This window comes from Homo sapiens, chromosome 7 (genome assembly GCF_000001405.40).
Source record: "Homo sapiens chromosome 7, GRCh38.p14 Primary Assembly".
Lineage (NCBI taxonomy): Eukaryota > Metazoa > Chordata > Mammalia > Primates > Hominidae > Homo > Homo sapiens.
Window position 1 is genome coordinate 34,141,699 of NC_000007.14, and position 14,985 is coordinate 34,156,683.

The 14,985-nt window shown below is 40.1% G+C and overlaps 1 protein-coding gene across 4 annotated transcripts in view; it reads left to right on the top strand.

The window, feature by feature from the left end:
• Window positions 1-14,729, top strand: part of BMPER (BMP binding endothelial regulator) — a 251,513-nt gene extending 236,784 nt beyond the window's left edge. For all 4 annotated transcript variants that reach the window (NM_133468.5, NM_001365308.1, NM_001410872.1 and 1 more), the window contains 2 exons: window positions 1,532-1,662; window positions 11,394-14,729. In NM_133468.5, coding sequence (NP_597725.1) covers window positions 1,532-1,662; window positions 11,394-11,575 — 313 coding nt within the window. In that variant the 3' untranslated portion in view covers window positions 11,576-14,729. The remainder of the gene's footprint in view (window positions 1-1,531; window positions 1,663-11,393) is intronic.

A 14,985-nucleotide genomic window follows, 5' to 3' on the forward strand; every position in this document is an offset into this window, starting at 1 on the left:
GTATCACTCATCAAATAATCTCTCAGTCCTTGACATGGAAGGAGGCTCTTTGGGTTTTACATCTGTTCCTCTTTTGTCCCTGTTTTTTCCTATTTCCCAAAACTGTGCCCTTGAGTGTTGGGCTGCAATAACTTTGTGGGTTCACTGTGGGTCTGTTGCTCCTTGAATCTGTTTTTTGCTGTTTAATTCCTGTTTAGAGCAGACAGTGTGTCGATTTTATACCCAGAGGTAGCTGACTGCTCTCGACAATCAGTTGTGCACAGGTCCCACACCATGGGAAAATGACATTATAGTGTCCAGTGGCAGTGTCATGATCACTTTTCAAGATCGTAAGTGCAGCTTGTACTCTTGGATATTATTTTTTCTGTGTTCAGCCTTGAATAGCTTCTGTGAGGAAGGGAGTTTGCTGAACAAGGTTGTGAAAAATATAAGGATAGTTTAATTTTATTAGTCTTGGAGGCCTCTTGCATAAATGTTAACTGGAAACTGTTAGGCAGTAAATTTGCTGAAAGAAGAAGATGAGATTGTTGTGTAGTATAATAAAAAGGACACTCTTTCAAAGCTGGGAGATATAATTTAATTTGCTCTTTTCCACTTAAAAGTGCTGACTTTGGGCCCATGTATTTATTTGTAAAATGACCCCTTCATTTATGGAACAAGAAACTGTATTATGCCTTGTTTACCATCCAGTGACAGGCTCCGTGTGAAAGCATTTTGTAAACTGTAATATTATACACTAATGTAAGGCCATTATTATGTCTTTGTGGTCAACATGTTTAAAAATTTGTTAGTTTGCATTTCCGTTCAATTTATGTCCTGGTCCATCATTTCCATATTTCAGCTGCAGAGACCTTGATTCAATTCTGTTCATCTTGCAGTCTAATTAGAGACCTGAAATGTTTGCTTTATTTAGAATTTGTCACTTTACATTCTGAAGAATGAAGATTCAGTGTTCCTTAAAAGACTAAGATTCTAAGATATTACAGAAGTGAATTCTAATCGTCTGTCTTCAGAAAGCCATGGGATTTTGTGTTTTCATCAAGTTGGTTACCATTTTTGGAAACATTGCAGTAAAGTCTATTAGTTTTATATCAGTGCTTGTCACAAGATGGCGATGGTATTCCAGTAGGGTAGCCATTAGGCGCATTGGGCTATTTATATCTAAGTTAATTAAAATAAAAGCAAATTAGAAACTTGGTTCCTCCATTGTGGTAGCCACATTCCAGGTGCTCAGTAGCCAAATATGGAGAGTGGCTTTGCACAGTGGAGATGTTAGAACATGTCTATCCTTACAGCAAGTTCTATTGGATAATCTTGCTCTAGAGGAAAGGAAATCTAATATCACACTGTTCAAAGGTATCCAGCACTTAAGTTCCACACAGAATTTTGCCAATTTAGATTTCCAGTCTAAAACAGCAAATTTTAATGGGCCAATCAGGTTTTCCCATCTACGACCCTTTCTGAAGTTATATTTAGGGTGTTTATGGTTTGATATTTTTAAATGTTTCTATCTCTCTTTTGGGTCCTATAGGTCCTGTGTGACAGACATGTGTGAATGTCCAGTCCATAAAAACTGTTATTGCGAGTCATTTTTGGCATATACCCGGGCCTGCCAGAGAGAGGGCATCAAAGTCCACTGGGAGCCTCAGCAGAATTGTGCAGGTAAGAAAGTCCTGCTGGATCTACCCATCAAAAGTTTACTGCAATGCCCAAGATGGCAATGGAGGAGACTTGTGGATGCTGACATGAGTGGCCACATGCCCCCTTGCCAGAGGAAAATCCCTTCCAGTAGCCCATCTGGATTGCTACTTGATAAAACACAGGGACTTCCCACTGGGCAAGGTAGACAGCACTTAAGATAAATGCTTTGTGACAAGCATATTTAAGCAATTTAAAGATTTCCACTGTTGCAAAATCCTCTTGACCTCAAACTACCAGCTGGATATACTTAGCTCATGGGCGGTTATAGCTGTGGCTTAGGTTATGTGTGAAGCAAAGGAGATTCGGGACAATTACAGTCATTTAAGGTCTTCAGGATAAGCAAGATACTTTTTTTTAGAGATTATTATACAAAGCCTAGTAGAATTTTTTTCCCCTCTGAGAGATTTCTATAATAGTTGTCGCCTCAGGCAAGTAAATTAGCTTATTTGATATCTGTAAAATGGAATTCTTTATTCATGCAATAAATATTTGTTACAAAGTGGCTAGGTAGTGGGCATTGTGCTGACACTGGGTACTTTCATGAGTATAAGAGATGAAGCCCCAGTCATTGACACAGTGGCAGCCTAGTGGGAGAAACAGACAAAAACATAACTCTACAATAAAAACTTACAAATTACAGTAAGTATGAGGAAGGAAACAAACAGGGCAGAGTGATAGAAAACCATTGGAGAGGGCTGAGATGGGATGAAGAGGGAGGCTTCTCTACAGATGATATTTCAGCCTAGCCCTGAAGGAGTGAAGGGAGTGAGGGCAAGCATTCTATGCAGAGGAAACATGTTTGATGGCATAGGGTAGGAGAAAAATTATTAGCATGCTCTCAAAGTGGAGAGGAGCCAGTGTGGTTTGAGCCTGAGGTGGGCTAGGGGAAGAGGGGCGCAAGAGGAAGGTGGAGTAGGAGCAGTAGCTGAATCACGCAGGACTTGGCAGGGCTTTGAAAGGAGTCTAGCTTTTATTCCAAGAGAAGTGGAAGCCTCTGATAGCTTGTAAGCAAGCCTCTTTCTGCTTTCCAAAGATGACCCTGGATACTAGATAGAGAATAAATTGGAAGGGGACAAGATTGAAAGCAGGGTACTAGGCAGGAAGCTATTGTGATAGTCCTGGTGAAAAACTGATGGTGGCTTGAATTAAGATGGTGGCAGTGCATGTGGAGAGGAAGGGAGAGAGTCTAGATTTTAGAAATTTGCAATTTTACAATAATACCTGCTATCTAGTTACAAACATTAGTGATATATGCTTGAAGCATCTCAAAGAGTGTCCAACTCATAGAAGATGCTCAGTCAAGGGTAGCTGCTGTTGTTATTTAGATTTGAAGGAGAAATGACTGAATAGTTGTCACCTGGTTCAAGGATTGGCAAATTTTTGTTTTTAAAGGGCCAGATTTACCTGAAATAAAGAGACTGGGATTTTCAGCATGCTACCCTAGTCTTAATAGCCTTAGCTCACATCTCAGAAGAGAAGGCCACCCATGCCATTGCTGACTCCACAATGTCTACATTGGTTGAAGATAAGAGTGGTCACTGGTTAAAGGAAGCATTAAGAATTGCCTTGAAGCTGTGATTGCAGTGTACAGACATTGCGTTCACTTAGACCTGTGAGTTATAACCTGGCTGGACATTGGAATCACCCTGGGAGCTTAAAAAATAAACCAGGAACCTAAGCCTGTGCCCTATGCCCTGATGTCTTTCTTCAATTGGCCTTGTGTACCTTTTAAAACTCCCTAGGTGATTCTGACCTGCAGCCAGTGTTGAAACCCCTGAGTTAGTTTGTGTGTTTACTTGGGTGGCTGTGGGGAGGTAGGATGATGGATTTTTGGGGGTTGCTGAAGCTTCCTCAGCTGCCCCTTGGTGCAGTCACTAGTCTGTGTTTTTTGAAAAGCACCAGAGCCCTTTCACCTTCCTCTGACTCCATTTTGGTTGCGCCCCCACCTCTGCAAACCCAAGTCCAATCTTTATATCAGAGTTCACCTTCCACAGCAAGTGTGCCACTCTATCAATGCTGCCCTTCTCAGAGAAGTATTGATTCGATAAAAATAATTCACTTAAGGTGTGGCTGAGGCTGCTAAAAGGTGAGGCAAATGGTCCACCTCTAACCTAATGCATCAGTGCTGGGTAGAATATGTGAGGGTGAGGTTTTTGAAGAACTGGGTCCTTCCAGCCATCTTGAATACTCCTAGCTCCCTCTATTTTGAATCCCCTTTCCCTTGAATTTACTGGAAAAATGAATAAAATAAATGGAGTCAAGTTTGATCCAGCCAACCATCCTGGTATAATGCAGGGCTCAGCAGAATTCTATTAATTTGATTAGCTGTGGTAGTGCTGTTGTTGGGATCATATTAGATACAGGATATATGATCCTTCTCTTCCTGGCCCAGAGCTATACTTAGCACCATTTCAGTGCACACGTTGCATTTGAGGACTACACATTTCATGTCAGCATCTTCATTTCAGGGACTGAGTCTCTGGAGCTAAAATTACTTTTCTAATGGAAAAGGAATATGGCTCCTGAAAGATTCCATTTACCTGTTCTTAGTGGAGCCATCTGGGTGAAGTATAACTCCATCAAATGAAGTTCAGTGGGAGGGGAATGTTTTAGACACACACATTCTCTCTCTCTCACATATACACACACACACATACACACACGCACACACACACATTATGAACTTCCACAGACTGACAGTTGGTACATGAAGAAATAAATTTACACAGATCTGTAGCATCTCTCAGTAGATTCAGTTCAGATTCATGTAGAATACTGAACACTATAAAAGCCCTCTTTACTTGTTTTTAGCTCCCAGGTCCTTTGACTCACGACGGCACTTGAGGCCACATAAGACAAAAAGGAGAAATCTTCCAGAGCAAAAAGTCTGGAAGTTGAACATATAAGAAGTCAGCCAGGCGAGAAACTCTAAATGAGCCAGTGACATTTTAAAGTCCAGCCTGGATTTTAACACTGTCATGACTATAGACACAATATGTGCCCGCCACCTATGGCACAAAGGACTAATGGAACCCTAATTTAGCATGGGAATTACTAAATAAAATGTAATATGCTAAGGGCTATAGTGAAAGTATATAAAAGTTTAATAATAATCATTTATATTACTATTCACTCTTTTTAAGCACTTCCTTTCCCCCAAGGACTATATTAGCATTTTATATTATATTTTATCTTGATAATGCCCATAATACTTTATATGGTAACATTATATTACCCACATTTTACTCAGAGGGTCATTGAGACTTAAAATAGTTAAGTAATTTGCTGAAAGTCACAGAGCTAGGAAGCAAGGAAGCTGGGAGTTGAACCCAGGTCAGCTTGCATCATTGCCCCGTCCTTAATCATTATGAGAACACAGAGACCCAAGAGCACTGTGGAAAAAAAAGAATGCATATTTATGTGCTTATATTAGTGTCAACTAATTCATCCAAATATGTATCTAAATCTTAGTCACCTTAGTGACTTTCCAATTTCTATTTGTTTGTTCCCTATCACTGGTGGTTGTTACTCGGTACCTTCTGACTCTAAATGTGTTGTGATCTTGTCTGCTGTATGTTACATTGTCATCCTTAGCAGAATGTCTGCCACCTGCCTATAACTGATACTAATTGTCACTGCACATTCAGTCATACATTTTATACATGGAAAAGGTGCTGGAAACGTGGGTGTTTTTGTCTTTCTGTAGCATAACGGATGGTTTGCTGGGCTATGTGAACAGTTTTCTTCCTCCTTGTTTGGCTCTGCAAACCCCAGATGGTTCTAGCTCCTTCCCTGCAGCAACTCTGCCCTAATTATATACACTGAGTTATTTCTTGACTGACTGGATGCCTCCTGTAAAAGTTCAAGAGATAAAGTCAGGTATGGTGACCTTCAGCACCCCATAGGGGGATGTGGAGATGGTTGAGTTCCAGAAGGCACATTGCCATGCTGATTGAATGTATTGATAAAGCCGGCACATAATGTTTTTATGTTTCACCTATAGCGGTTTTAATGCCCCTTTGAGAATAAATGCACTCTAATCCTAACCACTTTGGCAGATCCCTGTTTTTTTTGTTTGTTTGTTTTTTGAGACGGAGTTTTGCTCTTGTTGCCCAGGCTGGAGTGCAATGGCGTGATCTCGGCTCACTATAACCTCCAACTCCTAGGTTCAAGTGATTCTCCTGCCTCAGCCTCCCTAGTAGCTGGGATTACAGGCATGTGCCACCACGCTTGGCTAATTTTGTATTTTTAGTAGAGACGGGGTTTCTCCATGTTGGTCAGGCAGGTCTTGAACTCCTGACCTCAGGTGATCTGCCTGCCTCAGCCTCCTAAAGTGCTGGGATTATAGACGTTAGCCACTGCACCTGGCCATGTTGTTTTTTAACTATTTAACAAAATAGATCCTTTTAAAATACATATGTGCCCATCACATCACACCTATGTTTTAAGAAATGATCTTATGTCTTTTACAAGTTTGAAAAAACAACTGAATTCACAGAGGGTAAATGAGGGCTCAGGTCAGTGTTAGTGTTCTAGGATAATCTAAAAGCTGTGCTGAATTGAAGGCAAATCCGGTGATGTCACTCCACAGCTTAAAACCCTTCCAAGGCTTCCGTTTGCCAAGGCTTGTGGGGTCATTTGTGGTCTCTGATCCTGGCTTACTTCTCTGCCTCTCTCTCCTACCAACTGCCCTCCTCAAGGTCCATGTCTCTAACCCACCAAACCAAGGATCCGCCCTTCCCTGATTAAGCCACAGTACCTTGCTGTTGCCTGTACCCCTACCTTTGTTCCTGCTGTTCTATGTGTCTGGGAAGCTCTCCCTGTCATTGTCTGTCTGACAATGACAATCAAGTTTGCTCACTTGATACTTACACAGGATCCATTCTCTCAAGTCTTCCTTGATCTCTACTCAACTCTCAGTGTTGAACTAATGTCTTTCTCTCTTACTCTTCCCCTGTACCTTGTTATTGTCTGATGTGATACATCTTATATTTTGTTAAGAATCTATTTACACATCAGCTTTACCTATTTGGTTGTAAGCCCAACCTCCTGTAACTGGAGGACAAAGATGATATCTGATCACATTTTATTCCCCAGGCTTAAGAGACTGCCTGGCACATAGATACTCAGCAGATGTTTATTGATTTAATTTGAATTGAATTGGAGATGGTATTTATAGGATGAAGGATCATACAAGAGAGAGAGATTTCTTTTTTTTTCTCTAGTAGTTTTCATTTCCTGCAGTCTACTTTTGACTTGTAGACTGTGAGGGACATACCAGTCCTTAATAGTAGAAAGGTAAGATGCCTTAGAAGAAGTTGAAAGGTAGACTAGAAGAAAGAATTGAGAGGTCAGAGAGAGGAAAAAACATGGGAGACTTCATAGCTATAGAATAGTCAGGGAAACACAAAGAATGTGGTGGGAAAGAAGAAATGCTGCTGAGAAGTTTTTATACTACCAGGAATCCTTGCAAGACTTAAAGGGGAGCAAAGCCTCTAGAGGGCAAGTGAGTTGAAAGAGGGCAAGGTGAGTTCTGAAAGCAGCGGAGTGGAAAATGAACTCAAGATTGGCCAGATAAAATCCACACTAGGAAAAGGAATGATGGGTTGAATATCATTAATATGAAATCCCCATCCAGGAGGCATGCATTGAGCTGCTCCCCCGTGCCTGTCCCTGTGCCAGAACCTTTGGTTACAGAAGATAAGAGTCCTGCCCTCAAGAGCCCAGGCCTCATCGATACACTCTCTTCAACTGCGGGTACTTGTCACAGTGACCCCCAGAAACTTTAAAATCAACAGCTGCACAGGCACGACTGCAGATTCAGAGCAACAACCTTTAGGGGTGGGCTGAGAAATAAATATTTTTTAAAGGCATATCAAGAGACTCTTATGAATATCTCTGATTAAGGACTATAGCTGTACTGTAATTAAGGGATTAAAGCAAATAAGCAAATAACTATAACGTTAAAAGTACTGTGGGTTGCAGAGGAGAGAAGGCATCTTGCGGGGATATCCAGAAACCTATTTGAAGTGGGGGACATCTGAATTAAGATAAAACTGATTAGACTGGGAAAAGAATCAGAACTAATGGTAATAGATTTCAGAGGTCTCTAACTGGAAGTCAGAGATAAAACTGTAGTAATTGAGGAAGAGACAGACAGAAGAGAAAACAATGTCGGGGGGAGATTCCAGGAGGTGATGTGAACATTTAGTGCCAGGAAGTGGGTAAAGAAACCCGAGAGAGAGAGAGAAGGTGTCTCCAGGAGTCAGCAGAAGAACCAGGAGAGTTCACTGTCATAAGATAAAATGGACACAAAGACCAAATATTTTGCAGAGTGGTCTTGGGAAAATGGGAGTTGGCAAGATGTTGGTGGATATGGACATTAGTGAAAACTTTGGAGGGAACTGCTTCAGTCAAGGGGTGGGTGAGGAAGATGAGCCTGTCAACATTAATGAATTGCAGAAGACTAGGCTAAAATGACTGTAAATTCTTCCCCAAAGTCTGGAGGTGAAAGGAGGGAGAAAATAAATCTGATAGTTTAGGGAATATTTGTTGTTAAGTAGATAGGGAGAAGATTAATTTGCTATGACAAAGAGTAGGGCAAGTTCTGAAAGAGATGGGGCAGAAAAGAAGAATGGCAAATCCAGGATGGGTGCAAATGACAAGAGGCAGTGAGGGGTAAGTTAAGGGTACTCCTGCAGACGACCTACAACCAACGCTGAAAGAGGATGAGTGCTCTGGGATGGGGAAGTGCTTCAGTGGGGCTTGAGGTAGAAGAGGTTGGGAAATAGTAGGACCTAATTTTACTTTGGAAATAGTTTTCTTCTCAGTTGCTAAAAAGGAATGAGTCTCTGAGTGACTGAAGCATGAATGTAGGGTTTGTTTGCAGGATCAAGTCTCAATCTTGGCCGCTCATTAGAATTGCCAGTGTGGGGCAGGGTCGGAAGGAAAGGGAGAGTGTTTTGTTTTGTTTTCTTAAATTACTGATATCCTGATCCCACCTTGAGGTGTCCTAATGTAATTGATCTGGGATGAAGTCTGGGCATCAGGAAGTTCCCCAGGTGATCCTAACTTCCATTTGTGACCACCATTAGTCCACTGAAGCATAACAACACATGAATACAATTACTCTGTATAAATATGATATTCAGCTTGGATGTTTCCAAATCATTAAGCAAATGCAATGTATAGGGTATTCTGTTAGTCACTGAGAAGAGAAAAAAAGAGGACTTTGAAAGGATCAGTGAAAAGTCAAAAGATTATCACAGAAGCCTAAATTGAGAGACTTAAAGGAAGGGTTATGTCAATCCACCCACTCACTCACCCATGTATCCATCCACTCAATCTCCCAATAGTCCTCTGAGTAGTAAATGTTAAACACCATACTCCTGCAGAAGGTAAAGAAACAGAACAGTGTTCCCCTCTAGTAGCCTATATTTGAGTTGGTGTGTGTATGTAGCGAGAGAGAGAAAGACTATGAGAGGATGAAACTGATGACTACAATTTCATGTTGTAAATGCAGTGATGGGATAAGCAGCAGGTGCTCTTCTTATCAATCAAGGAACATCCATCCCATCCACACAGAAGAGGTGGGAATTCAGTTGGAAAGGTTGGGAACTCAGTTGAGAAGAATGGAAGATGGGGTGAATGGTGGTGACATTCACCAAGCTAGATAATGGCACCAGATCAAGGCACTGGAGTCCACCATGCATGAGGGAGCCTATTGATGTCATCTGTAGAGAAGAGCAAGGGCACAGATCACACAACAGGGTAAAGAGGGGGTAGAGGACAGATCCTGAGATGCAAATGGAAAATTCCAATCCCCTCTCTGTTGTGGTTATTTCTGTTTCATAACAGCTTTATTTAGCAAGTATTTATTGCTGGCTTTCATATCTAATGCTCGCCAAGTGCCAGAAAATGTGTGTGCTAGAGATGTAGTGAGGGACCACACAAAACTCCACCCTCAAGGAGCTTACATTTTAGTGTTGGAAGACAGAGTAAATATGATACGATGTCAGGTAGTAGTATGTGTAAAGAAGAAATAAATAGGGAAAAGAGGTAGTGAATATGAAAATGTTATTTTGAATAGGAAGTTACCTTTGAGAAGGCACCTCAGAAAGCTGAGTGTGAGCCAGGTGTAGGAATCAATAAGGCATAGATGATATGGGATGTTTCAATATAAGTGACTAGTAATTAGCTGCTACTAACTCATCCCTCTGCTGGTATATCAGACAGCAGCCATGTCATTTACCTCTATCCCCAAAGCATCTGGTACAGGGACTTTGTTCAGAGCAGGTGTTTACCTAGAGTCAATGGTTTAGTTAACAGTTGAGGCAGGGATAAATAAATAATGCACCAGTGCTTACTATGAATCTATACAGAAAAATGTTCATTATAGAGTCAAGTAGTTTAAAGTTGGTTTTATTTAGATGTTTTGTTTCATACAACTTGGTTTTTGAATAGTAAGAGCTGATGAGAAGTCATTGATTACTCGCTGGATAGAATGTGTTCTCTCATTTGTTTCTAACCAGTGCAATGGATATTTGAGAAGCCTTCATAGAATTTATTTTATGGTGCTTATTAACTTTCTTTTACTTAAATATGATCAAAGATCAACATTTTGTGGCAACTCTAAATGCATAACTTGAAAGACTCAAATTGAGGCCCGTTTGCTGGCAAACCAGTTCTATCTTTAAATTTTACAATTACACGATTCCTTACCAGGTATTATTCTGCAAACAGCATAAACAATAGAGGCATTGAAGCTGAGAATGTCTTCCATTGTTATTACTTTTGTTTAAAGGAACTTTAAATGAAGATGGAATTGTTATTGGTGTTCTTGGAGGGTCCCTGATCTAAATTCCTACTTGTGTCAACATTCCTATTCTTGAGGAATGAGGGGCGGCCCCTTCAACTGTCACTGGATGTAACTCAGATGGAAAAGGCTGTGTGTCAGAAAACTTCCAGAATGTTTGCATTATTTTTTTCTGACAAGTCTAGTCATGAATTTTCAGGATCTCTCATAATTTTGTGAAAATCACTTTGCCTCTAAGTCAATAAAGATAGTAAATTGGCTGTGACGTGGCAACATCATCATTTTTATATTGTTTGACCCAGCCAGCTGCTGTCCTCCCTGCAGTCACATATCTGACTTTTCTCTATTTGGCTTACCCCAGTCTTGCTCCAACATGCCTTAAATTTATTAATTTAACACACGATTACATTGATTAAAATATGTCACACATTCCCAATATCCTTGGTAGGTTTTTTCTCTGTGGGTAATTTCATATATTTGAATATTGATGTAGTTGCACAAAATATTCCTATTCATCACAGCTCAATAGCTGAAAGGACTATTTGCAGCAGATGTTTTATACTATTTAGTTATTTGTACAATAACTAAATAGCCTTAAAGATTTTCCTATAGGCTTACACATTTATAGTTTATCTTATCTAAGAATAAGATAAATTCTTGTTCAGATCTACCTGCATTTGTTTTTATAGATGTAGCTGATTCCCAGAGTGTTTGAAGAATGTTGGGTGTTTGTCATTCTCTTGTTAAAATGCAAATGTGATCCTGAGCTATGGAAACGTCCATGAAGTGTCATGAGCCTGCAAGAACGGCATCTGGCTGAGGGTGAATTAATGGGGCCTTTCTCCATGTTATGCCTTTGTCTCCTTCTCTTTTTCAGCCACCCAGTGTAAGCATGGTGCTGTGTACGATACCTGTGGTCCGGGATGTATCAAGACGTGTGACAACTGGAATGAAATTGGTCCATGCAACAAGCCGTGCGTTGCTGGGTGCCACTGTCCAGCAAACTTGGTCCTTCACAAGGGAAGGTGCATCAAGCCAGTCCTTTGTCCCCAGCGGTGACCTTTGTTTCGATCCTTAAGACTCTGAAATCTGGTGACTTTGACACTGAAGCGGAAGAGCCAATGAAGGACTGCAGTATTTGTGTGCCCGATTCTGTAAACACACACACACAGAGTATATATGTGTATATATATATAGATATATTCAAAAACATTGCATCATTTATATGAACTATAGGGGGATTATTATATGTATATTTTTTGCTATAAGACATGTATTGTTTCTAGGATCCTAACCTGTAAGCCATTGAACATGTTGTATAAATACACCAGGTGTTTTTAATTTAATAAGGTGGCATGCAGATACATTGGATAGTGTTAACATCACATACATTTGTCATTTTTAAGGAAGTTTTCTAAGAGCCCTCAATTGCCTGCCTGTATTAATTTTAGTTTTGAGTCAGGATTTGTAATGGAGTGGGAAATGTGTTTCTCTGGAGAAGGGCACATTTATCTAGGGGCATTTCAGGTTTCCAAAGAAAGGAATGTATGCCTGGGAAAGACAGCAGGAGATTGGTGACCGGCCCTAATGGTGCATGAAAAGCGAGTGATAGGCTGTTAGAATGTATTAGGTCATGGGCTAACATTATTTCCAAAATTGATTGGCTGGTTGCCAAGAAATATATATTTGTCACTAGGGCATAACCGAAGAATCAAGTGATTTCTTGCCATCCTTGCGTAGTCCTCAAGTCTTCTAATCATCTATGTGTGTATGATGGATGTGACCATTTATATGTCATGTGTTGAAATTAAAGGGTGTCTGGATGCCATGTTAATTTTATTGAGCATGAGAAAGTATTTGAAGAAACTGTTGCACAACATATGATGAAATTTTGATTTCTCTGAATCTCAGAGTAATTTAAGATGGGCAAATCCAATGAGTTGATGTAACCCATCTACATTTTGTGGCTATTTCATGTATAAAATGAAAGGCTTTAGTTATTTCTAGAGGAGTCCCATCCAACACTATTTGGCGACTGTTAATATGTTATAATTATTAGACAGTGGAAAAGCCTTTATTGACTAATTGATTTAACCTCAGTCCAAAGAACAGTCTCTATACTTGCCCTCATTTACTGATAGGCTGCTACTAGTTACCATTTGATTGTCTTGACTTTCGTCTTCAGTTGAATTGGTGAAAACATCAACAAAAACAAAACCCACTGTGTCTTAAAATAAAATGTTCTGCATTGTAGTCAATAAAGGGCTTAAGATGTAAAACAATGCATTTTCTCTCTCAAGATGTCCTGTGTTATACTTTACAATTAGTTGTATCAACTTCAGATTCATTAAATTTTAACAGCTGTATTTAGTTATAATTTTTGTATCTTACAACAGTATATATAAAGACTATTATTAATAGACAAAAGCAAACCCACGTTTTTGACAAGCCAGCATATTGCCAATGCTCGTCAAAGACATTTATGTTTCTTTTACATTCATGACAGCTAAAGTATTAACTTGGAATTTTTTTTTTTTTTTTTGACTGGAAAATCCCTAGTTGTTTGAATTAACTGAATAAAGTGCAGGGCGTAATAGTGACTGGCTGGGGGCACTGGGCCTTTGTGTTTTTTTTCATTCCTGTGTTTGGATACTAATCACCCTCGTATCTGCAGCCTGAGGTAGTCAGGTCATTGTTTCAATGCTGCCCTTGGAAAGAAGACTTTGACTTAGGTGCTTTGGGATCTAAGTGTGGTTTGTGACTATCCCCATTATTTAAGCATTTGGGGGTCTCACTTTTGCTTATCTGTAACACAAAGAGGCCATGTAGTATAGTGAGCAGGGTTGAGAATCGGGAAAACTAGACCCCTGCCACTAACAGGCTAGGAGACTTTGGGCAGTAATGGGAGGCACTGAGGGTTTGCAAATACTTTCCTACTTGTAATCTCATTGATTCCCTGCTCTGCCCTGACAGGAGGGGTAGGGAAAATCAGTTGACGTTGCCTGGTGGTTCCTACCTTCTGTAAAACGAACAGATTCCTTAAGATTAGCTTTAAATCCCTTTTCAGTTCACTGTTGGTTCTCATCTTTGAAAGAGGGCAGCATAAGGGAAATGATGGAGAAGGGAGAATTGTGGATGGTTATTTATAGCTCATGATTCATCCAAGGACTGAGTTATTCTCCCCATGAGGCTAACCGGCCTCTTTCCCAACACTTAATCATGGCAGCCAGGATGGGTGAATGATGAAAGCTCTTCTGCATGAGCCGGTTTCATCATCTTGGGTGGGTTGATTACAAGTTTGTGTGGCATTCCTTTAGCTGGGGATTAGCTTAATCTCTGTACATTTTTCTCATTTCTAATTGAAGAAGAAAGGGAGGGCAGAGAGGACAGAAAATTACTTGGGTTTACTAATTCAAAGAGCCATCTCTGATGGGAGAGGGTGAGGAAATCAGCTGAATGGTTGGCCTGCATATTCTTTTTTAGGCCACAGGCTACAGCTGAGCAATGGCTTAGTCTAATGATTGGGCACAATGAGGATTTACCAAGTGCTTCAATGAGAGCAGTCCTGTTTCATTCACATGGGATGTTTTCAATTGGTTCTTCAACTAAGCTCTTGCAGAGTGAGATGACTTGAAATAAAAATGTTCTATGAATATTGAATTTGATGAGAAACAAGCACCCTCAATGAAGAACAAGCATAATTATGATTCTAATTGCCCATTGTTGGTACTCAGTAAAACTAAGTTCTTTCTTCTCTCCCTCTGTAAATAGGAATATTTGAGGGTCCTGACCTAAAATTTTTTAGCTGGGAAGAAAAGATATCTCTTTGGCATCGACAAGAGCAATTTTTGTTAAAACTGTGGTACACTAAGAATCACTAACTCTTCAGGTTGAAGGCCTCACTCATCTTAACTCGTTGACTGCTTCCTGACCATCAGACCGTCCTGTAAGAGGGCATCTTTCAATAAGAACGAGAAAGACCCAGGAGGTTGACTAGCTTCTCCCAGCTTTCACTGAAACACGGATAAACCATTTCAACTGGAAAACTCTTCCTTTTTATGAGATATTTCAGACACACAAAAAGGCATAGAGAAAAATGTTGCAAACATCCATGACTACATTACCCTAATTAAGAAACATAACCTGGTAAGTAGTCAATAAATTTTTCTTGAATCAATAAATAAAACCTAATAAATGCTGTCTCATGGTTGCACAGCTGTTTGTGGATTTGTTCAGTTTGAGCCTGACTGCATTTCTCTTCACTTTGCCACTCTTTGTCTTCACATTCATCTGGATCTGACAAGTAACAAGGACATGAGCTGGAAAGCTCTTGGAGTGGGAGGAGGAGACTGCCTTCAGGGATAGGCGCCAAGGTATTTTAATTAGCGATCTCCTCCAAACATAACTCTCAGGAGCAAGCAAAAATAATCTCTGATTCTACATCCTGGAGTACAAGCTTTGCAAAACTT